Below are 21,420 nucleotides of genomic sequence, written 5' to 3'. Positions count from 1 at the left end.
GACATAGCAGAGGCAGGTGACAGCAGCTGCAGCATGGGCCAAGAAGGAAAGTGGCCCCTGGTGAGTGAGGAGCCCTCGCAGGACCACAGGCAGGCCATGGTGGGAGCAAATGGCAAAGGCCAGTCACAAAACCCAGCCACCGATGCCTGAGTGGGAGATGGGGCAGGCAGGAATTTCCGGACCAGTTCTGCCTGCTCCTGGCTTCCAAAGAGAAGAGCCAAGGGAGAGTGCGGGCTCAGTAAGCAGTGCCCTTGGGACAAGTGGCGTCAGCAGCAGACGGCCGGCAAGGGGTCCCCAGGTCCAGGAGCGGCTGACTGGCTTCAGCCCTGGAAACCTCTCTGTACTTGAAGCCTTTGCTTGCCAATGTGTGCAACGCTTTGGAATGGGCCTTTGGCAAAAGGGACCCCAACCCTGGTGGAGACCCAAGCCAAGAGTGGTGATGCGGGGATGCCTCAATGAGGACAGGGGATTAGCCCAGGAGCTCCCCCACGCTCGGGGAATCAGCGCCAGGGCACCAGGAGACAAAGCTGTGTAGGCGGGCGCTTCAAGTCCAAGGCCTTTAATTCGCAGAGTGCCTGCCCTTTCTCGCCCTCGCCCTCCCCCATCGCCATGCCTCACCCCATGCCCTCACCGCCCCAGCTCCCTTCCCGAGCCCCTCTCTCCTCCCTCGGAGCCTTGACTCCAGTGGGGCTGTTCCAGTGGCCCTGGGCGCCCCGCTCCCCCTTTCCTGGCCTCCTAGGTGGGAGCGGGTGGGGGTGTGGCCAGAGCCCCCGCCGCCGCCGCCCCCAGCATCAGCATGGCCAGGGCCTTGGGCCCGGTGGTGTGGATCTTCTCGTGCCGGTGCAGGTTGGAGCGCCGGCTGAAGCTCTTGCCGCACAACGGGCAGGCGTAGGGCCGCACGCCACGGTGGGTGCGCTGGTGCGCGGTGAGGTGCGAGCTGTGGCTGAAGCTCTTGCCGCAGTCGAGGCAGTGGTAGGGCTTCTCGCCTGTGTGTGTGCGGTTGTGCGCGATGAGGTTGGAACGCTGGCTGAAGCACTTGCCGCACTCGGGGCACGGATAGGGCTTGACCCCAGTGTGGGTGCGCTGGTGGGTGACTAGCGCCGAGCTCTGCGTGAAGCACTTGGCGCAGATGGGGCACTTGTGCGGCTTGGCGCCCGTGTGGGTGCCCTGGTGGGTGACCAAGTCCGAGCGGCGGGTGAAGCGCTTGGCGCAGCGGTCGCACACGTAGGGCTTCTCTCCGGTGTGGATGCGCTGGTGCTGAATCAGCGTGGAGTGGTGGCTGAAGCTCTTCCGGCAGGCGGGGCAGGTGTAGGGCTTCTCGCCCGTGTGGATGATCTGGTGCTGGATGAGGTGCGAGCTGCGGCCGAAGCGCTTCCCGCAGTCAGTGCAGGCGTAGGGCTTCTCGCCCGTGTGCGTGCGCCGGTGCGTCACCAGGTGCGAGTGCCAGCTGAAGCCCTTGCCGCACTGCTCGCACCGGTAGCTCTTCCTGCCCACCTCACTGTCAGGGGCCAGGCCCTCCTCGCCACTCTCCGGGGCGCCCTTCTCCTCCTCGTTGGGCTTCTCCGGGACGCGGTACTCCTGGGGCTCCGTGGGACTGGGGTCTGGCGGAGCTGCATCCGGGGTGCGATCTGGCTCAGCCGGCTGCCCGGAGTCTTTGGCCGGCCCTGAGCTCCGGCCGCAGGCTGCTTCCTGCGCGCACTGCGGGACGCCCCACTGGACTCTCCCTGCCCTGGTTCTGAAGGGCTTCACATTCCCAAGGGCTGCCACGGATGAGGTCTGCACCCTCTGCCCCACCTCGACGGCTCCTGGAAAAAGAAAGTCGTTTCCAGCTAGGGACGAGCTTCCCTAAGGACCCCAGGAGGGTGGAGAAGGCAGAGCTAAGGGTGGGGGCTGGATTCTCAGAGACCAGAAAGCGCAAGGGCCGCCCTGGGCGCAAACCGCCCAGGAGGGGGTCTGGTGGCCCTGCCCCACTCCCACAGACAACAGCCAGAAGGCCTGCGTCTGCGCCCCACTCCCGCAGACAAAGGCGCGCGCCCGTCCCTCACCTGTGCACGCGCCTCTCCACTCCTTCTCATCTCCTGCCTGCCGGCTGGAGCCCGAGGCCTCACCCTTGCCGTGCGCTTGAGGGGCCCAGAAAGGCCTGCTGAAGGGAAAGCCTGCCCAGAAAGAGATGCTGTGCTGTCACAGGCCTTCTGGCGCTGCCCAGCTGCAGACAGCATCTCCCCAAAACTGATGGGCCCAAGTAGGGGGTGAGGCTCTGGAAACAGGGGGTAAAATAAAGCAGTTTCAAGAAGGCCCCCTGGGTCGGGGGTCCGCCCCCTGCCTGGCGGCTGCCAGAGCTGACTAGGCCTGTCTCCTCTTTCCCTGAAAGAGCAACGGAGTTTAAGGGACGGGAGTGGGCAACACCCTACATCAACGCCCACGGGACGGGTATCCCGCTCCTACACCCACACCTGGAGGGGCAAGGGTAGTGGCCCTCCAAGTGGGAGGACCTGGGACAGGAGGGCCAGGATCTCCAACGACTAAGGTCATCCCATTTGTCAAGTCTTGGGGGGGTGTGGCCCCAGGAATTTTGGTCAAGTCAGTAAGAGAGCAGAGGGGGCCCTGGCTTCCACCACCCGTGGGAGGAAAGGAATGTGTTGGACCAACCGGGTGGCTTGAGGCATCTGCGAGGCCTGCCGTGGTGCTGAAAATGGGTGTTGAGATCCTTCTGATCCCTCAGGACTTGCCTGGGCTTGCTGGCCCAGGCACTGGGGAACCATAAGAGCGGTGAGCAGCCTGAGCTAATTGAGGGGTGACCATCCCTGGTGCCAGCCAGCGGGGCCTTGGGACCACCATGATGCCACCACCTGGAATGCTGAGTCCTGGATTCTGCCTGGACTAGCAAGTGTGCTAGCTGGGTGTTGGCCAGGCGCAGTGGCTCATGCCTCCAGCACTTTGGGAGGCCGAGGTGGGCGGATCACGAGGTCAGGAGATCGAGACCATCCTGGCCAAGATGGTGAAACCCCATCTCTACTAAAAATACAAAAAAAAAAAAAAAAAAAAAAAGCCGGGCATGGTGGTGGGCACCTGTAGCCCCAGCTATTTGGGAGGCTGAAGCAGCAGAATCACTTGAACCCAGGAGGCAGAGGTTGCAGTGAGCTGAGATCACGCCACTACACTCCAGCCTGGGTGACAGAGCAAGACTCCGTCTCAAAAAAAAAAAAAAGCTAAGCGTCAACTGAATGAATGAATAAATGAATAAATGAATACTGATTTTTCCGTATTAAAACTAAAGTCTGGAATTGAGGAGTCAAAAGCTCTGGGATGGCTGGGCACAGTGGCTCACGCCTATAATCCCAACACTTTGGGAGGCAAAAGCAGGAGGATGACTTGAGCCCAGGAGCTCAAGACCAACCTGGGCAACATAGCGAGATCCCATTTCTACCAAAAAAAGAAAAAAAGAAAAAAATAGCTGGGCATGGTGGTACCTGTAGCCCCAGCTACTCAGGAGGCTGTGGCAGGAGGATCACTTGAACCCAGGAAGTCGAGGCTGCATGAGTCGTGATGGTGCCACTGCACTCCAGCCTGGGTGACAGAGCAAGGCTGTGTTTCAAAAAAAAAAAAAAAAAAAAAAAAGCTCTGGGACTTAAATACTTAACATCCAAGAAACAAAGGGAACCAAGACCCCTCGGAGACAAGCACCTGCTCCTCAAAGCAGATGGGACACCCAAGGGTCTGCGGGGCCTGGGGAGTTCAGTTCATGCCATCTCTCTCCAGGGCAAGCAGCCCTCGGGCCCCGAAGCCAAGCTTGCTGCTCAGACACCTCTGAAGTTGGGGCTTGGAAAGGAAGATGGAGCTATAGGAGTGAGCCCTGCGGATGAACCCAGGAAAAGCGGACTTCCTGGGGCAGCGTCCAGTACAGTAGCTGCTAGCCATATGCGGCTATTTAAACTCTCATTTGAGCTGATTAAAACCAAGTAAAATTGGCCGGGCGCGGTGGCTCACGCCTGTAATCCCAGCACTTTGGGAGGCCAAGGCAGGTGGATCACGAGTTCAGGAGATCGAGACCATCCTGGCTAACACGGTGAAACCCCATCTCTACTAAAAATACAAAAAATTAGCCGGGCGTGGTGGTGGGCACCTGTAGTCCCAGCTACTTGGGAGGCTGAGGCAGGAGAATGGCATGAACCCGGGAGGCGGAGCTTGCAGTGAGCCGAGATCGTGCCACTGTGTTCCAGCCTGGGTGACAGAGCGAGACTCCGTCTCAAAACAAAACAAAACAAAACCAAGTAAAATTAAAAACTCAAGGGCTCTACTCACATTTCAAGTGCTCAGTAGCCACACATGGCTTGTGGCTCCCGTCCTAGCACACACAGAACATTTCCATCATTACAGAAGTTTCCATAGAACAGTGCTGTCTCAAGGGACAAGGAGAAGGGTGGGAGAGAGAGGGAGGGAAGGGAGGAAAGAGGAGACGGCAGAGCAGGACCTCTCCCTAACACCCCAGTCCCCCCTCCAGGCGAGTGCTTACCCAGTGACAGCCCATTTTTCTTCTGCAGGACATCCCTGTAGAAGTTCTGCTGCGTGTGGTCCAGCCGTCCCCACTCCTCCCGGGAGAGGTACAAGGCCACATCCTCGAAAGTCACTGGCATCTGAAACAATGTGAAACATCCACTCTCCAGGACATGACGTGGACACGGTGGAGGGACACCATGGCATGAGATGTGTGGTGAGACCCCGGACTCCCAACCCACTGTGTCGAGTGAGGCCTGCCACTTCCATCTGATCGGGAAGCAGGTGAGCCACCCAAGGCCTTCTGGGGAGTTGAGAAAGAACAAAGACCAAGAGGTATTTTCAGGGATCACAGTTAAGACTTAGGATGTCCATGCAGCCCCCAGCCTCAGCTGAGACCTCGGAGGACGGTTCCCAACGGCTACCAGCGAGAGGCCCTGTGTCTCTAATTCCTGCTGCTTCTCCTCCAGCTTTGGCCCAGGCCTGACCATGGGCCTTGAGCCTGGACAATTCCAGCAACACTAGCAAGAGCCCCAGGCTTCAGGCTTGGCTGCAAGTGGGGCCAGCGGGGTCCTGGCTTTCACACAGAACCAGCAGATGCAGGAAGGGCTGAGTACCATGCAGGGGCCGGGGAAGGGCCACTCACCTGGGACCAGGCAGTGAGGAGCGCTGCAGCCATCTGCCGGTCTCTGGTCCTCCCCTCTCGGGAAAGCACGGGGATCCGGGGGGAGGGGAGGGCTGTGGGAGGAGAGAGGTCCTCACGGTGATCAGCTCATCCTGCTGGACCTGCTGCTACTTCAGCTGCCTCAAACTCCACCCCTGGCCCGACCCAAGGACAGGGTCGGATGGCTCTGACGCTGCCAGGGGGCTGTGGGCCATGGGGGGATAGCGTCCCCTGCTGGCATAGAGACCCTCAGCCCCACCTGGACCTGGGCCAAACCTCCACCTCCCCACAGCTGCCTCCCTGGGAAAGCGCCTCTTCCCCGTCCCTCTCCTACCTCCGCCAGGCAGGAAGAGAGCTTTCTCCTTAGAGCCGTGACTTAGGGGTGCCCAGCCCCAGGCACCTTGAGCCCCATCCTCCTGCGATGCCCCCTCGGAGTGTGGCTCTTCGGGCTCCATCTTAATGTGCAGTGACTCCTGAGTGTCCCCTGAAGGTACCGCCTCCCCCAGCTTAGAAGGCATTTCCTGATGAGGATGTCCACGATCTGGAACCTAGAAAGGACAGCCCCATCAGCACCCAGATGAGTGGGAGAGACACCCAGGGCCACATGGCAGTGCGCTCCGGCAGCGTCGGAAACCAACATGCAAGACGCAGCTTGAAGGACTGTCCTTGCTGCATTCATCCAGCTCACCCCAGCAAGGACGGGCGGCAAGAGGAGGAATATTCACCAAGCCGCCTCCACAGTGCCGGTGGGCGTGGTGCCCAAGGGCAGCTACCCCTTCTCAGCTCCAGCCTCACACTGACCTCAGCAGTGTAGACTGCTGTCTATTAGTGTATGAAGAAACCAAGTGTAGTGGCTTGAATAGTGTCCTCTAAGAATCCGTGTCCTCCCTGGACCTCAGAATGGGACCTTATTGGGGAAAAGGGTCTTTATACAGGTAAGTTAAAGATCTTGAGATTAAATCATCGTGAATTTAGAGTGAGCCTAAAATCTAACAATGACTTATGTCCTTATAAGAATAGGAGAGGACACAGAGACACAGAGAAGGAAGCAGAGACTGGAGGGATGCCCACACCAAGGACACCAGGAGCCCCCAAGGAGTTGGAAGAGGTAAGGGAGGGTCCTCTTAGTCTAGAGCTTTCAAAAGGAGTGTGACCCTGCTGACACCTAGATTTTGGACTGCAGGCCTCCAGGACTGTGAGAGAGCCAATTCTGGTTGTTTTCAGCCCCCCAGAGAGTGGAAACTTGTTACAGCAGCCACGGGAGACTAACACACCATGGCTGGGGATGAGACAATGCCCCGTGACCACATAGCTCAAAAGCTTTGGGAAAGTCAGGGAGGGCCCTGGTGGGGCCTCATCCACAGCACAGGAACTGGCCGGACTTCTGCTGGGGTCTCACACTCCTTCCTCCACGCCCTGTCTGTGTTTGGGTCTTGAAGGGAAAGAACCTCAGGCCAGGAATCAGAGTGCCTGGGTGCCAGACCCAGCGACACCCCTCCCCAATCAGGCAGCCTTCAGGACGCAGCTGCTCTGCCCCTGCACAGAATGGTCATGAGGTTCACGCAGATAATGATGGAGAAGGAGCTGCCAGCTCAGGAAAGTCCTGGATAAACACAGGGTGGCGCTGGTCATTAATCCCCCCCGCCGTGCGCACCAGACAGAAGCCAGTGCCAGCAGAGAATGCCAACATGTGGGGCTCTACTGACATGCCCAAGGTGTTCAAGGCACACGGGAAGTGGATGGGAAACTGAACCATGCTAACAATTCTTTGTGCTTCTATGGCATGAAAACCATAGATGATGGCGTCTCATGCCTATTATCCTTAGAGCCTCCCAGTGACCCTGCGAGACAGGTGGAAATGGCAGGCATGTGGTCTGCATTTTACAGATGACACATCTGGTTCCCAGAGGCCAGGGACTGGCCCCTGGCCTGTCGCTGACTCATACTCCTCCAACTCCAAGCCCGGAGACCCAGGTCCCCCACAAATAGTAATTACACACACACACTCAACCACGCACGCACACACACACGGGTAGCAGGTACAGGAAGGAGAAAGGACCGGGAGCTCAGACCCACAGAGATGAGAAGCTGTGGTTCCAGGTGGAGAAGCACGGGGAAGGAGAACAGGTTTCCCTGTGTGCTCTGAGCGCTGCTCAGAAAGAAAACCTCACTGATAGGACCTCCACCCAGACCTCTTCCATCTCCTGTGGCCACTGGCTAGAGAATTCACCAGCAAAGCAAAACTGTTATGCTGTAAATTCCAGACAGAGGGTACTACCCAGCATGCCACCTTCTCTTTGATCTCCCCACCCCAGTGAGTCTAACTCTTCCAGGGGTCCAGACTCTGTGCCTTGAAAATCTCCTCCGCACCAGCCTCTTCTACCGCACACCTCCCTCAGCCAGCCCCATCTGTACCTCCGGGGGTGTCTCCTTGTCCTGGGTGTCCTGGATGCCTCCGCCGTCTGCAGACATTTTCTATTTCAGAGCTAGAAAGAACAGCTGAGTTGTTTCTCCCTCTTTTTGGCCAAGCCCCCTCCAGCTTCTGGCCAGGAGCCTAGAAGAGCAGACAGAAACCAGCCCTCGCTTCCTGGACACCCCCAAAGAGCCCTGAAAATCCCCACGAGTACCAGCGCTCCCTGGTCCCAATCGGAAAGAAAGTCTCCCAGATCCTATCCGATGGTCCCACTCTCTGTGATGTTTTCTGGGTCCTATTTTTGAAAGAATGCTATTTTGTATTGTCCCCTTTATTGCTGAAGCAAGAGCCTCGCATCTCAGTGTAACCGGCTCAGGGAAAGCCGAGGCTAAATTGGAATCGCTATTTCCTGTCATCAGGAGCAGAAAGTTCTGCAGAGATCCTGCAGAACAGGTGCTGGTGGGGCCCCGCCCGTCAAGGCCAGGGTAATCCAGGACCTGCTGTCCCCCGACCCCAGGACATACACCGTGTGTCCCTACCTGACTCCCATGCCCACCAGGAATTCAGAAATCAACCTGCCCGCTCTCAGCAGCCCCCCTGCAGCTGCAACCACCTGCCCCAGGCCTGGGATGCCCATCCTGCTCTCGGTCCTGGCAGACAATGTCCTTCTCCTTCCCAAACCCGGTCCTGGCCCCCTTCTCTCCTGCCAGCTTGAAGCCTTCCACCTTTGACCCCATCCCCTCCTGCAAGCTGATCATCTGCGCCGGTCTCGGGATCCAGATGCCCTCCCCAGCACCCCCTTCTCACCGGGGTGGAGGCAGAGGGGGCACCTGCGGCAGTGGGGGCCCCCTCCCCCGGGAAGGGAGTCTCCACAGCCTGCACGGGGCGGGCGGGGGAGTTGGGTGGAGACTGGGAGTAGGGAAGACAGGAAGTCCCTCCCAGATCCCATTCCCCATGCAGCCGCAGCCCTACAGCGTTCCCGGTTTTGAGGGTTCCGGGTGTGGAGTCTCGAGCCTGGGTTGCACCTGCTCTTGGCCGGGAGGTGACTCCCAGAGCCGCAATGCCAGCTCATGAGGATGGCTTTACCCAGGACGCGTTCATGATGCCAGCAAGGCAGAGCCACCAAAACAGAAAAATGGAAGATGCATTTTGTGGAAAGATTGTGTTATTTGAAATTTCAAAGCGAGCACTGCAGTTGTCCTCACAGGTAGAAAGAAGGGCATTTTGCAGGGTGGAGAGGGCAGGACCATTTATTTTAGCACTCGGGGTTTCTGAAGGTTATTGTCTCCTGAGGGACCCTGAATTCATTTAGGGACTCCTAGTCAAGGGCCCTCTGGGTCCCCCCAAGACTGGCACAGAACTCTCTCCCTAAGAGTGAACTTGGGAAACAGGCTGGGAACTCCCCCCAATCCGGATGCCCCACACCTTGGGAAGAAGTTGGTTAATCCGATTCTTCCAGGCCCATTTCAGCTTGGGGATAGAGGGTGTGATCCAGCTATAAATGGGGTTCTAAGTTCTCAAACACGCCTGGCAGCTGCAGATTCTGCCTCTCAGGCACCATTTCCCTTTAGACCCTGAGAAGTAAGGCCTCAAATAGAGAGGACAGAGACTGTGCTTTACTTTCTGGGGGAAGGAACCATTTCTCTTGGGCAGGCATGGGGGCTGGGTGTCAGGAAAAGGGCCAGGGGCCCAGTCCTGGAATCAGATTCCAGGAAGTTTCCCTAGGAAACGTCCCCATGCCACTGTCTTTGGCTCACCAGAATCCCCTGAGGTGCACAGCTTCACACAGTAAGATGGGCCCAGCTGCCTCTGTACCAGCTCGTGCTATGTTGTGTGGGCTTTTAAGGGTTTGTTTGTTTATTTATTTACTTATTTGAGACAGGGTCTTGCTCTGTTACCCAGGCTGAAGTGCAGTGGCACGATCATAGCTCACTGTACCCTCAACCTCCTGGACTCAAGCAATTCACCTCAACCTCCCAAGTAGCTGGGGCCACAGGCGCATGCCACCATGCCTGGCTAATTTTTTAAATTTTTTTGTAGAGATGGGGGTCTTGCTTTGTTACCCAGGATGGTCTTGAACTCCTGATCTCAAGCAATCCTCCCACCTCCCAAAGTGCTGGGATTACAGGTGTGAGCCATCATGCCCAGAGGGTTTAATTTTTTTTTTTTTTTTTTTGAAATGAAGTCTCACTCTGTGGCCCAGACTGGAGTGCAATGGCGTGGTCTTGGCTCACTGCAACCTCCACCTCCCTGGTTCAAGTGATTCTCCTGCCTCAGCTTCCCAAGTATTTGAGATTACAGGTGCCCATCACCATGCCGGGCTAATTTTTGTATTTTCAGTAGAGACGGGGTTTCACCGTGTTGGCTAGTCTGGTCTCGAACTCCTGACCTTGAGTGATCCACCTGCCTTGGCCTCCCAAAGTGCTGGGATTACAGGCGTGAGCCACCGCGCCCAGCTAATTTTGTTTTTTTTTTAACTTAGTTTCTAACATTAAAAAATTGACACTCATAAAACTGATTCTTTTATTTTTTTAGACGGAGTTTCGCTCTTCTTCCCATGCTGGAGTGCAATGGCGCAATCTCAGCTCACCCCAACCTCCGCCTCCTGGGTTCAAGCGATTCTCCTGCCTCAGCCTCCTGATTACCTGGGATTACAGGCATGTGCCACCACACCTGGCTAATTTTGTGTTTTTAGTAGAGATGGGGTTTCTCCATGTCGGTCAGGCTGGTCTGGAACTCCTGACCTCAGGTGATCCGCCCACCTCAGCCTCCTAAAATGCTGGGATTACAGGCGTGAGCCACCGCGCCCAGCCTATAAAATTGATTCTTTAAAAAAAATTAGAACATTTACCGATGCTGGACCCACCTTCCCCACCTTCAGGGTCCACTTTCTAGGTGGCCACAGTGCCTGCTTGGCCCCTGTAGCATTTGAGTTTGCAACTCTGCTTTTGGAGTTAAACATGTTTTAGGAGTCCTGGGATTCTGATTGATGCTATTGTCAATTTGATGAAAGAAAAATTACTCCTGGGATTTGTGTCTGGTGTTTTCCAGGTGTTCTGGTTTTGGGATTTTGTTGTTGTTTTGTTTTGTTTTTGTTTTTCTGAGACAGAGTCTCGCTCTGTCATCCAGGCTGAAGTGCAATGGCACCATTTCGGCTCATTCCAACCCCCACCTCCTGGGTTCAAACGATTCTTCTGTCTCAGCCTCCCAGGTAGCTGGGATTACAGGAGTGTGCCACCGCGGCCAGCTAATTTTTGTATGTTTAGTAGAGACAGGGTTTCATCATGTTGGCCAGGCTGGTCTCGAACTCCTGGGTTCAAGCAATCCACCCACCTCTGCCTCCCAAAGTGCTGGGATTATAGGCTGAGCCACTGTGCCTGGCCAGGTGTTCTGTTTTTGTTTTTGATTTTTTAGAGATGTGGTCTCGCTATATCACCCAGGCTGGTCTCGGACTCCTGGCTTCAAGCAAGTCTCCCGCCTCAGCCTGCTCAGTAGCTGGGACCACAGGTGCGAGCCACCACACCCGGCTTCTAGGTGTTTTAAGCCTCAAGGCGAAGAGAGACATGCAACTTAACAAGTCAGTACTGTTTTCAAGCCAGAGTGAGCGATGAACTGAAAGCTGAAGCGGGGAGGGGTCCTGGAAATCATGACACTCTTCACTCTGCCAACCAGGAGGAGAGCTGAGTGTCCAGGGTCAGGGAATTCACTCCTGAAAGGGACCCTTTCACCCCACACTGTCCCAGGAGTGCACCAAGCCCCCCCAAAAGTGGATGTGTCGATGTGTCCCGACTCTTGGGCAAAAGTTTCTCTACCAGCAAAAGAGGCCACTTCAGGGATACTGGGGGAGTCCAAAGGTTTGGATCCCTCCATAGGATCACCTAAATTAGGTCAAATGAAGTCTGAGCATCTGTTTAATTGTTCAAAGAAGATTTATTGGACATCTACTGTAAGGCAGACATTAACTTCTTCTTGAGAATGAGAGGTGTTCCTTCCAGGGCTGGCTTTTGGATCTAGGCAGGTCCAGGAGAGACGGTGACCACAGTCGCCATGTGGCAACAGCAACCCCTAAAAGAGCACCGAAAGGCGTCAGGGCAGGGTGAGTCAGTAAGTAGAGCAGACATTAAAAACTTAAACGGGGCTGGGTGCAGTGCCTCGTGCCTGTAATCCCAGCACTTTGGGAGGCCAAGGTGAGCTGATGGCTTGAGCCCAGGAGTTCCAGACCAGCCTCAGCAACATAATGAGACCCCAACTCTATTTATTTATTTATTTGTTTTGAGACGGAGTCTTGCTCTGTCGCCCAGGCTGGAGTGCAGTGGCACAATCTCAGCTCACTGCAAGCTCCGCCTCCCGGATTCACGCCATTCTCCTGGCTCAGCCTCCTGAGTAGCTGGGACTACAGGCGCCCGCCACAACGCCCAGCTAATTTTTGTATGTTTAGTAGAGATGCAGTTTCACTATGTTGGCCAGGCTGGTCTCAAACTCCTGGTCTCGATCTCTTGACCTCGTGATCCACCCGCCTCGGCCTCCCAAAGTGCTGGGATTACAGGCTTGAGCCACTGCGCCCGGCCCCCAACTCTATTTAAAAACAAAAAACTTAAATGCCTCCAGCCACCAGCTTACATACGGGACCAATGGCTTGGGAGTAAGACGGGAGGGAGAAGGGACTTCAGAGGCCTTTGAGAAATCCTTGAAGAGAAGCCAAAAAACAATTCGATTCCTCTGTGACCTCCTGACTTTTAAATTGATGACAAAGTTTTAAAATTTAAGAATTCCAGCCGGGCGCGGTGGCTCACGCCTGTAATCCCAGCACTTTGGGAGGCGGAGACGGGCGGATCACGAGGTCAGGAGATAGAGACCATCCTGGCTAATACTGTGAAACCCCGTCTCTACTAAAAATACAAAAAAAATTAGCCGGGCGTGGTGGCGGGCGCCTGTAGTCCCAGCTACTCCGGAGGATGAGGCAGGAGAATGGCGTGAACCCGGGAAGGGGAGCTTGCAGTGAGCCGAGATACCGTCACTGCACTCCAGCCTGGGGGGCGGAGCCAGACTCCGCCTCAAAAAAAAAAAAAAAAAAAAAAAAAGAATTCCATACAAGTCAGCAGAACACACCTGCTGTCTGCATTCAACTCACAGGTCATCTGTGTAGGGACGTACTTACCTCTCAGTAACTGACTATAGGCCGGGCGCGGTGGCTCATGCCTGTAATCCCAGCACTTTGGGAGGTCAAGGCTGGCGGATCACCTGAGGTAGGGAGTTCGAGACCAGCCTGACCAACATGGAGAAACCCCATCTCTACTAAAAATACAAAATTAGCCGGGTGTGGTGGCACATGCCTGTAATCCCAGCTACTAGGGAGGCTGAGGCAGGAGAATCGCTTGAACCTGGGAGGCAGAGGTTGCGGTGAGCCGAGATCACGCCATTGCACTCCAGCCTGGGCAACAAGAGTGAAACTCCATCTCAAAAAAAAAAAAAAAAAAAAAAAGAATTGACTATAATTGGGGCCAGGCACAGTGGCTCACGCCTGTAATCCCAGCACTTTGGGAGGCCGAGGCGGGCGGATCACCTGAGGTCAGGAGTTTGAGACCAGCCTGACCAAAATGGAGAAACCGCGTCTCTACTAAAAATACAAAAATTAGCCGGGCATGGTGGTGCACGCCTGTAATCCCAGTTACTCGGGAGGCTGAGGCAGGAGAATTGCTTGAACCCAGGAGACGGAGGTTGTGGTGAGCCGAGATGGTGCCATTCATTGCACTCCAGCCTGAACAACAAGAGCTAAACTCCGTCTCAAAAAAAAAAAAAAAAAATGGAAGGAAAGAAAGAATTGACTATAATGCACAAAGCCGCTTAGCAGAGCTTCGAGCATGGTAAATAATAAATGCCAACTCCTGTAGCTGGCGGCTTCACTGACCCTGAGTAAGGAGAGGACTCCTCCTTCAATAAATAAATCATGATCTGCTCTCAGAGATCGACCTGACAGTTAAGTCAAGACTTAAGGAATAACAAAAACTAGGGAAAAAAAGACCCATCTGAAGTAAGAACAAAATAATTGGTGCTAATTAAGGTGGCTAAGCCAGGTTGGAGACAGGGAGATGTAGCCAGCCTTAGGAAGGAAGGAAGGAGACGACGATAGGGGAAAACAAGGGAACTGAGCAAGGTAAAGAAAAATAAGAATAATAAAGACCAGAGCAGGTCGGCGCGGTGGCTCACACCTGTAATCCCAGCACTTTGGGAGGCCGCGGCGGGCGGATCACGAGGTCAGGAGTTTGAGACCAGCCTGGCCAACATAGTGAAACTCCATCTCTACTAAAAATACAAAAATTAGCTGGGCGTTCTGGCGGGCGCCTGCAATCCTAGCTACTTGGGAGGCTGAGGCAGGAGAATCGCTTGAACCCGGGAGGCGGAGGTTGCAGTGAGCCGAGATCGCGCCACCGCACTCCAGCCAGGGCGACAGTGTGAGACTCCGTCTCAAACAAACAAACAACAAAAAAGAGCAGAGCAAATATTGAACTCTAAAAGAGAAGAAAAAGAAACCAGCAGAAGTGTTAGATAGGTAGGACCCAAGGAATACACATTGTTAAAAGAAAAGATTTCCCAGGGCCACCGGACACCAGCGCGTGAGAATCCGGAGGCAGGGAGGCGACCCGGTTCCCGAAACCTACGCGGCTGCGGGAGGCCCAGGAGCCCCACGCGAACCTGTCCGCACAGCCCAGCGGCTAGGTTCACAGAACGCAGACGCTGGAGCCTGTCGCCCAAGCAACGGCCCCGCCCCGCCCACGGGAGGCGCCGGTGATTGGCCGCAGCCTCAGTGGCCCCGCCCCCGCCCCAGCCCCGCCCCGCCGCCCTCACCTGCGCGCTCCCGTTCGCGTCCCCGATCGGCAGCTCACCCTAGCTTGGCGGACCCCGGCCGGTGTCCCCGCGTTTTGCGTCCGGCTGCCCCATTGCAACTTCCGGCTTGCCGGGCCTTTTCGCGGCGCCCCACCTGTCCAGCCCGGGGCGCGGGGGCAATCGCCGTGAGGAGCAGGCGGGGCGAGGGCACCCCACCCTCGAGTCGGCTTTCGCCCGTGGGGAAACTGAGGCTGCCTGGTCGAAGGCCTCCACGGGGAAGCGCCGAGGCCTCCTCCATGCCTGGGACCTGGGGGTCTTAATGAAGGGAGAGTCCACCCTCCCGGGCGAGGATCCCGATCCATGAGGCGCCAACCCCCGCCCGGGCGCCCGGGTCCAGCCTCCCCGGCCGAGGGTCGGCCTCACACTCCCCTGCTTTGGGTGTTTGGTTTTGTTTAAAAAATGGGACTATACTATATGGTCTACCTGGGTCTTGCCCCCTCTGTGTGGGTGACATATATCTTAGAGATTGTTCAAAATAAAAAACATAGAGAAAAGGAGAAAAATAGAAAAAAAATGCATCGTTGCCTTGCTCTTTTTTTTTTTTTTTAAACTAGGTAGCATTCTCTTGTATGAGTCTGTTACAATTTCCTTAACCAGGCTTCTGCTCACCACCCACGTCTTGACACCCTTGCCTTGCAGTAACAGGAACCACCCCAACAGCTACTACCATGGAGCCTTGGTGGCTTTCTAGTGAATGAACAGACATCTGAGCTTGCAAATAGGGCGGGAAGAGAGGCTATCCTCACGCTCCCGCAGGAGTGTCCTCAGCCCCAGGCTTCTGGCCTAAACCTGGCTCACAAATCTCAGCCTGGGCAGCCTGCCTCTCACAGTTGGGAAAAACAGCCTATTCCCGTCTTGAACAAACCCCGGGAGGACAGGAAGAGCATCCCTAGGCAACAACACCAGGTGCTTCTTTTGTTTTGTTTTCTTTTGTTTTCCAGACAGAGTCTTGGTCTGTCGCCCAGGCTGGAGTGTAGTGCCCAATCTCAGCTCACTGCAGCCTCCGCCTCCCAGGTTCAAGCGATTCTCCTGCCTCAGCCTCTCGAGTAGCTGGGACTGCAGGCACGCGCCACCACACCCGGATAATTTTTGTATTTTTAGAAGAGATGTGATTTCACCATGTTGGCCAGGATGGTCTCGATCTCCTGACCTCGTGATCTGGCCACCTTGGCCTCCCAAAATGCTGGGATTACAAGCGTGAGCCACCACGTCCGGCCTGTTTGTTTGTTTTGAGACAGGCTGAAGTGCAGTGGCATGATCACAGCTCATGGCAGCCTTGACTTCCCAGGCTCAGGTGATCCTTCTGCCTAAGCCCACCAGTAGCTGGGACTACAGGCAAATGCCAACATGCCCGCTAATTTTTGTATTAGTAGAGATGGGTATTTGTTTGTTTGTTTGTTTTGAGACAGAGTCTCACTCTGTCGCCCAGGCTGGAGAGCAGTGGTGCGAGCTTGGCCTACTGCAACCTCTGCCTCCTGGTTTCAAGTGATTCTCGAGCCTTGGCCTCCCCAGTAGCTGGAACTACAGGTGCATGCCTGTAGTTACAGGCGTGAGCCACCACCCCTGGCCTCTCCATTCTTTCCCACGAATCCCTATCACATTCTTCTCACTCTATTGGGTGTCAAAAATGTAGAACTTCCATGCTTCCATCTCGTTCTTTTAAAAATTGTGTTTTTGTGGCCGGGCACGGTGGCTCATGCCTGTAATCCCAGCACTTTGGGAGGCCAAGGCGGGCAGATCATCTAAGTTTAGGAGTTTGAGACCAGCCTGACCAACGTGGAGAAACCCCATCTCTATTAAAAAAAAAAAATACAAAATTAGCCAGGCGTCGTGGCACATGCCTGTAATCCCAGCTACTCCGGAGGATGAGGCAGGAGAATTGCTTGAATCCGGGAGGCAGAGGTTGCAGTGAGCCAAGATCACGCCATTGCACTCCAGCCTGGGCAACAAGAGCAAAACTCCGTCTCTAAATAAATAAAATTCTGTTTTTGTAAACGCTTTATACTTTTTTTTTTTTTTTAAAGAAACCAATTAAGGATGAGAACCAGGGCTCCTTCGATAAATGGCCAATTCTAGGACTCTGGTAAGAAATGTGAGAGATGAGCCTGGAGAATCTAGTAGTGCCCGGAAGGACAGGAATGCTGAACAAAACAAAAAAAAGTTAATGATGGGGCATGTTTTCATTTATTTATTTTTATTTTATTCTTCTTATTATTATTATTTTGAAATGGAGTCTCACTCTGTCACCCAGGCTGGAGTGCAGTAGTGCAGTCTCGGCTCACTGCAACCTCTGCCTCCCAGGTTCAAGTGATTCTACTGCCTCAGCCCCCCAAGTAGCTGGGATTACAGGCACACACCACCACGCCCAGCTAATTTTTGTATTTTTAGTAGAGATGGGGTTTCACCAGGTTGGCCAGGCTGGTCTTGAACTCCTGACCTCAGGTGATCCACCCGCCTCGGCCTCCCAAACTGATGGGATTACAGGCGTGAGCCACTGCGCCCGGCCACCCAGCTAATTTTTCAAAAATTTCTGTAGTGACAAGGTCTCACTATGTTGCCCAGGCTGGTCTCAAACTCCTGGGCTCAAGCGATTTTTCCGCCTCTCCAAGTGCTGGGATTACAGGTGTGGGCCACTGTACCCAGCCCTACTTCCTTCTTAATAGTATATTTCTAAGTAATAGCAGAATTGCCCAAATGAGCATCCTACAAGCAGTTGGCGCTGTGGAAACTCTATTATGTCTTGGGGGTGCCCAGTGCCCTGGCTTTCCCTGCAGTACACGATTCTGCACTTGCAAAGGGGAATGCCCCAAACAGGGAACTCTCTGCAGGTCTTGCTGGAATCAATAATATGTAAATACTAAAAACCGATGTATTGCCACTCTTTAAGCAATCACGTTGAAGATTGCTACTGGCAATAGAGCTTTCAGAGAGAATCACAAAGCAGAAAGTTCAAGGTCCTTTGAGAAGGAACTGACATGCAAATATTTTATGTTGTATGTTTGTTTTTTCTTTTTAGAAACAGAGTCTTGATATGTTGCTCAGTCTGGCCTCCAACTCCTGGGCTCAAGTGAGCCAATGCCTCAGCCTGCCATGGAGCTGGGACTACAGATGTGAGCCATTGCACCTGGCTTATGCTGGGAGTTATTCAGAATCATATGCTTTGGCACCACCTTGCAGTAAGAAAACTAAGATGCATAACCAGTTAGAAGGGCCTCACTCCTTATAGGGGTCTCAGAGCAGGGCCAAGACGGTCCTGAACAAGCCATGCTGGGACCACCCCCAGGACAAACGATGGATGTAGGTTCAACACTCTCTTTTTCTGTGGCCTGTATAGGGACCAAAATACTTTCCTAGCACTGTTCAGTCTTTGCAGCTGGAACATGGTTCTTTTTTTTGTTTGTTTGTTTGTGTGTGTGTGTGTGTTTGTTTTTGAGACAGGGTCTGGCTCTGTCTTCCAGACTGGAGTGCAGTGGTGGGATCATGGCTCACTGCAGCCTCAACCACCTGTGCTCAAGTGATCCTCCTGACTCAGCCTCCTGAGTAGCTGGGACTACAGGCACGCACCACCATGTGCAGCTAATTTTAAAATTTTTTGTAGAGACGGGATCTCACTGTGTTGCTCAGGCTGGTCTCAAACTCCTAGGCTCAAGAGATCTTTCCACCTCAGCCTCCCAAAGTGCTGGGATTAGAGGTGTGAGCCACTGCACTGGCCTGGACTGTGGTTCTAAGTGCTCACCCTCCCAAATCCCAAATCAACAAAAATTCTGCTGACTGGGAGTGACCTACCTTCTGGGTAGACCTTTTTTTTTTTCTTTTTTTTTTTTCTTGAGACGGAGTCTCGCTGTGTCACCAGGCTGGAGTGCAGTGGTGCGATCTCAGCTCACTGTAATCTCCGCCTCCTGGGTTCAAGCAATTCTCCTGCCTCAGCCTCCCGAGTAGCTGGGACTACAGGCGCCCGCAACCACGCCCAGCTAATTTTTGTATTTTTAGTAGAGACGGGGGTTTCACCATGTTGGCCAGGCTGGTCTTGATCTCCTGGCCTCAGGTCATCCGCCTGCCTTGGCCTCTCAAAGTGCTGGGATTACAAGAGTGATCCACGGTGCCTGACCTTGCCGGGCCTTTAAAATCATAAATTTGCTGCAAATCAAGCTGCCCCGGCTCCATTTACTCACTTCCCCGGTGTCCCCCGGGGCTCCTTCCTCACTTCCCATCTCCCCTTCTTCCCTGCAGAGGTTTTAGGTTCCTGATCATTTCAGGAAGCAGCTGTGTTCTCCAGGGGAAAGGCGAGGTCCTAAGGCAACCCAGTGCCCTGCACTCCGCCTATTGTTATTCGTCTTCCGCCCTCCAGCAGCCACAATAGTCTTTCCCCGCAGGAAACACCACAACTCTGAGGTCCCAGAACCGCCCCAAAGCCACAAAAGGCTATTGAGTGCTTTAAATGGGGCGAGTCGGAGCTCAGACGTGCTCTCGCTGTAAAATGCACACTGGATTTTGAAGACTTTTATGAGAAAAAAGAATGTGCAGCCTCTCATTAGCAAATTTCTGTATTTGTTGAAATAATATTTTGGATATAACGAGTTAACTAAATCGTATTATTAAAATTAATCGCTGGCCGGGCGCGGTGGCTCATGCCTGTAGTCCCGGCGCTTTGGGAGGCCGAGGCGGGCGGATCAACTGAGGTTGGGAGTTCGCGACCAGCCTGACCAACATGGAGAAACCCCTTCTCTACTAAAAATACAAAATTAGCCGGGTGTGGTAGTGCACGCCTGTAATCCCAGCTACTCGGGAGGCTGAGGTAGGAGAATTGTTTGAACCCAGGAGGTGGAGGTTGTGGTGAGCCGAGATCGGGCCATTGCACTCCAGCCTGGGCAACAAGAGCGAAACTCCGTCTCAAAAAAAAAAAAAAAAGAAAATTAATCGCATCTGTTTCCTTTTACCTCTTTAATGGTGGCTACCAGAAAATTTTAAATTGCGGCTGTGGGTGGCACCACACTTCTCTTGAAGGACACTACTCCAAAGGTTCCCCGTCCCACTCCGCACAGTTGACCCCAACCCAGTAGGGAACCACACTCTCTTTAACGCCCCCTAGCGTCAGGTACGGATTCATACACGTTTATTATCTTTCAGGTCTCAGTGCTTTTGCAAACCTTCTCTTCTACAACCCTCTCCTGCAATACATCTGGGAGGTGGGATCATCGTTCACACATTACAGAGGAGGCAGTGATGGTTTTCAAATGAAAAGTGACTTCGCCAAGGACACATGCAGCTGGGCTGTGGAGGGCCTAGTCTGTCTCCTTTTTCCATCCCTCGTTTATTTCCAGAGCTGTTCCTACACCTGAAAAGCGCCACTCCCCCTGCACACCCTGGCAGACAACCGGATTCGATGGCCCTGGCAGCCCGAACGCCAACAAACACCCAGTGTCTTTCTGAAGCGACCATAAGCCATTCGAGGAAACACGCACGGGGTCCTGCTTGTCCTGGCCTTGTCCCCAATGCCCAGGGCAGTGAGAGCAGCTCTACACGGAGGCCAGTCCCTGAGGCTTCCTCGGTGGCCTCAGACCTCGGAGTACACACGTGCAGTCCTTACCTCCCAAAGATAAACCTAACCTCTCACTCTGCTCTTCACCTACTTCAGACTGCTGTCCCATATATGGTCACCAGAGACATATGAGAACCACTAGAGATAGCCCCAAACTGAAAACTGCCCACGGGCTACCCATAGCAGAATGAATAACTGATGTAATGAGGAAAATCATTCAGCAACGAGAGGGAAAGAACGCTCGATGGCATGGAGTCCCAGCTGTAGTCCCAGCTCCTTGGTAGACCGAGATGGGAGGATCACTTTAACCCAGGAGTTTGAGTCCAGCCTGGGAGATATGGCAAGACCTTGTCTCTAATAAAATAAAATAAGTGGAATTGGGAAAATTACAATTTTAAAAGAAACAAAAATTTTTAGTAGAGATGGGGTTTCACCATGTTGTCCAGGCTAGTCTTGAACTCCTGACCTCAGGTGATTAAAGAGGCTGAGTGCGGTGGCTCATGCCTGTAATCCCAGCACTTTGGGAGGCCAAGGCAGGTGGATCACCTGAGTTCAGGAGTTCAAGACTAGCCTGGCCAAAATGATGAAACCCCATCTCTACAAAAAAAAAAAAAAAAAAAAAAATGAACCGGGCATGATGAGACAGGCCCCACGCCTCTCGCTTCCGAGACTGTAATGGCTGCCTGGTCCCGCCAAGGCCACACCCGCTCCGGCGCTACAGCACCCCGCCCCGCCCCGGACACGCCCCCTCCGTCCCTACAGAACCCCGCCCCGCCCCTTGGCCTTCAGGCCCACTTCCCTGGGGGCGGGGTTTTCTGGCCCCGCCCCTGAACAAACTATGGAGTGGGAGGAGCCCGCGACTGGGAGAGCGAGGCGCGGGACGCGGGGAATGCAGAGCAGACCAAGGAGAAAGACCGTCGTACGAAGGGAGCACTAGACAACTGAAGTAGGAACAGGATGAGCTCAGGTGTTAAGTGCAGGAAAACAAAGACCCGTCAGATGAGCCAGTCAGGAGGGTCCTGGCCCCAACGGACCGAGGGGTCTAGGCCGGGGGAACGGCCAACACCTGAGAGGTGGTCCTGGCTCCCCGGGGGCTCAGAACGCTCAGGAAGGCACCAGCTGCAGCCAAGGGCACAACCCAAGAAGGCACCTTAAGCACAGGGATGGAATTAGTTTGGGGCCAAACGCTGTTGGTTAGGTCACTTCCCTCCCGGGGAGCCCTTGCTTCGTCATCGGTAAAGTTGGGACAAAAGCCACCTGGCAGGACTTGGGAGGACTTTAGGTGACCGTGTAGATGGAGCAAACTCTGCCCCATCACATCCTCCTCTTCCATTTTTTCCTAGCACCGTCGCTGCTCCTTTGCCCTAGAATGTAAGCCCCTGAGAGCAGGGCCTCATTCCTTCAGTTTCTCTCTGTGTCCTTAGC

At 54.3% G+C, this 21,420-nt stretch overlaps 1 protein-coding gene and 2 long non-coding RNA genes across 8 annotated transcripts, besides 12 other annotated features; 1 reads left to right on the top strand and 2 right to left on the bottom strand.

The window, feature by feature from the left end:
* Positions 1-543: 543 nt before the first annotated feature.
* ZNF205 (zinc finger protein 205) lies at positions 544-8,475 on the bottom strand. 5 transcript variants are annotated; one of them, NM_001278158.2, is made up of 7 exons: positions 8,111-8,475; positions 7,574-7,712; positions 5,493-5,706; positions 5,141-5,232; positions 4,514-4,634; positions 2,046-2,156; positions 544-1,805 (listed from the first exon to the last, which is right to left on the bottom strand). In NM_001278158.2, exons 2-7 carry the CDS (start codon positions 7,628-7,630, stop codon positions 736-738), a joined length of 1,665 nt encoding a protein of 554 aa, NP_001265087.1. In that variant the 5' UTR covers positions 7,631-7,712; positions 8,111-8,475; the 3' UTR covers positions 544-735. The 5 variants fall into 5 exon arrangements, with proteins under 5 accessions (NP_001265087.1, XP_005255615.1, XP_047290557.1 ...); XM_005255558.3 differs by having other exon boundaries at positions 7,574-7,644; XM_047434601.1 differs by having other exon boundaries at positions 7,574-7,644; positions 8,185-8,475.
* Positions 5,463-10,601, top strand: ZNF205-AS1 (ZNF205 antisense RNA 1). 2 transcript variants are annotated; one of them, NR_024167.1, is made up of 3 exons: positions 5,463-6,093; positions 6,179-6,266; positions 10,107-10,601. It is a non-coding gene; the product is annotated as a ZNF205 antisense RNA 1 (long non-coding RNA). The 2 variants fall into 2 exon arrangements; NR_024166.1 differs by having other exon boundaries at positions 6,174-6,266.
* Positions 6,952-7,540: an enhancer, noted in NCBI's record as "H3K4me1 hESC enhancer chr16:3163522-3164110 (GRCh37/hg19 assembly coordinates)". NCBI's record gives its function as "activates a minimal SCP1, AML or CMV promoter by ChIP-STARR-seq in naive H9 embryonic stem cells {active_cell/tissue: H9 hESC(naive)}" and the evidence as "EXISTENCE:reporter gene assay evidence [ECO:0000049][PMID:30033119]".
* Positions 10,602-11,481: 880 nt separating the features above from the next.
* Positions 11,482-14,299, bottom strand: LOC124903629 (uncharacterized). Its single transcript, XR_007064948.1, has 2 exons — positions 12,730-14,299; positions 11,482-11,636 (listed from the first exon to the last, which is right to left on the bottom strand). It is a non-coding gene; the product is annotated as an uncharacterized LOC124903629 (long non-coding RNA).
* Positions 14,254-14,463: a silencer, noted in NCBI's record as "silent region_7118". NCBI's record gives its function as "represses an Ori minimal core promoter by ATAC-STARR-seq in GM12878 lymphoblastoid cells {active_cell/tissue: GM12878}" and the evidence as "EXISTENCE:reporter gene assay evidence [ECO:0000049][PMID:35858748]".
* Positions 14,564-14,673: a silencer, noted in NCBI's record as "silent region_7117". NCBI's record gives its function as "represses an Ori minimal core promoter by ATAC-STARR-seq in GM12878 lymphoblastoid cells {active_cell/tissue: GM12878}" and the evidence as "EXISTENCE:reporter gene assay evidence [ECO:0000049][PMID:35858748]".
* Positions 14,744-14,823: a silencer, noted in NCBI's record as "silent region_7116". NCBI's record gives its function as "represses an Ori minimal core promoter by ATAC-STARR-seq in GM12878 lymphoblastoid cells {active_cell/tissue: GM12878}" and the evidence as "EXISTENCE:reporter gene assay evidence [ECO:0000049][PMID:35858748]".
* Positions 14,744-15,449: a biological region, named in NCBI's record as "H3K27ac-H3K4me1 hESC enhancer GRCh37_chr16:3155613-3156296".
* Positions 14,766-15,449: an enhancer, noted in NCBI's record as "H3K27ac-H3K4me1 hESC enhancer chr16:3155613-3156296 (GRCh37/hg19 assembly coordinates)". NCBI's record gives its function as "activates a minimal SCP1, AML or CMV promoter by ChIP-STARR-seq in naive H9 embryonic stem cells {active_cell/tissue: H9 hESC(naive)}" and the evidence as "EXISTENCE:reporter gene assay evidence [ECO:0000049][PMID:30033119]".
* Positions 15,024-15,073: a silencer, noted in NCBI's record as "silent region_7115". NCBI's record gives its function as "represses an Ori minimal core promoter by ATAC-STARR-seq in GM12878 lymphoblastoid cells {active_cell/tissue: GM12878}" and the evidence as "EXISTENCE:reporter gene assay evidence [ECO:0000049][PMID:35858748]".
* Positions 15,450-16,133: an enhancer, noted in NCBI's record as "H3K27ac-H3K4me1 hESC enhancer chr16:3154929-3155612 (GRCh37/hg19 assembly coordinates)". NCBI's record gives its function as "activates a minimal SCP1, AML or CMV promoter by ChIP-STARR-seq in naive H9 embryonic stem cells {active_cell/tissue: H9 hESC(naive)}" and the evidence as "EXISTENCE:reporter gene assay evidence [ECO:0000049][PMID:30033119]".
* Positions 19,010-19,710: an enhancer, noted in NCBI's record as "OCT4-NANOG-H3K27ac-H3K4me1 hESC enhancer chr16:3151352-3152052 (GRCh37/hg19 assembly coordinates)". NCBI's record gives its function as "activates a minimal SCP1, AML or CMV promoter by ChIP-STARR-seq in naive and primed H9 embryonic stem cells {active_cell/tissue: H9 hESC(naive and primed)}" and the evidence as "EXISTENCE:reporter gene assay evidence [ECO:0000049][PMID:30033119]".
* Positions 19,326-19,375: an enhancer, noted in NCBI's record as "active region_10301". NCBI's record gives its function as "activates an Ori minimal core promoter by ATAC-STARR-seq in GM12878 lymphoblastoid cells {active_cell/tissue: GM12878}" and the evidence as "EXISTENCE:reporter gene assay evidence [ECO:0000049][PMID:35858748]".
* Positions 20,745-20,804: a silencer, noted in NCBI's record as "silent region_7114". NCBI's record gives its function as "represses an Ori minimal core promoter by ATAC-STARR-seq in GM12878 lymphoblastoid cells {active_cell/tissue: GM12878}" and the evidence as "EXISTENCE:reporter gene assay evidence [ECO:0000049][PMID:35858748]".
* Positions 20,965-21,014: an enhancer, noted in NCBI's record as "active region_10300". NCBI's record gives its function as "activates an Ori minimal core promoter by ATAC-STARR-seq in GM12878 lymphoblastoid cells {active_cell/tissue: GM12878}" and the evidence as "EXISTENCE:reporter gene assay evidence [ECO:0000049][PMID:35858748]".

The sequence above is a fragment of the Homo sapiens genome, chromosome 16 (assembly GCF_000001405.40).
Source record: "Homo sapiens chromosome 16, GRCh38.p14 Primary Assembly".
Classification (NCBI taxonomy): Eukaryota; Metazoa; Chordata; class Mammalia; order Primates; family Hominidae; genus Homo; species Homo sapiens.
Note: the sequence above shows the minus strand (reverse complement) of the source record. Positions and strands in the feature narration are given on the sequence as shown.

Coding starts and splice junctions, on each gene's coding strand:
- ZNF205 (NM_001278158.2), bottom strand. CDS start 7,630: ATGTCTGCAGACGGCGGAGGCATCCAGGACACCCAGGACAAGGAGACA. Junction 4,635..5,140: donor TCCTCACTGCCTGGTCCCAG/GTGAGTGGCCCT, acceptor ACATTGTTTCAG/ATGCCAGTGACTTTCGAGGA. Junction 2,157..4,513: donor GAAAAATGGGCTGTCACTGG/GTAAGCACTCGC, acceptor CTTTCTGGGCAG/GCTTTCCCTTCAGCAGGCCT.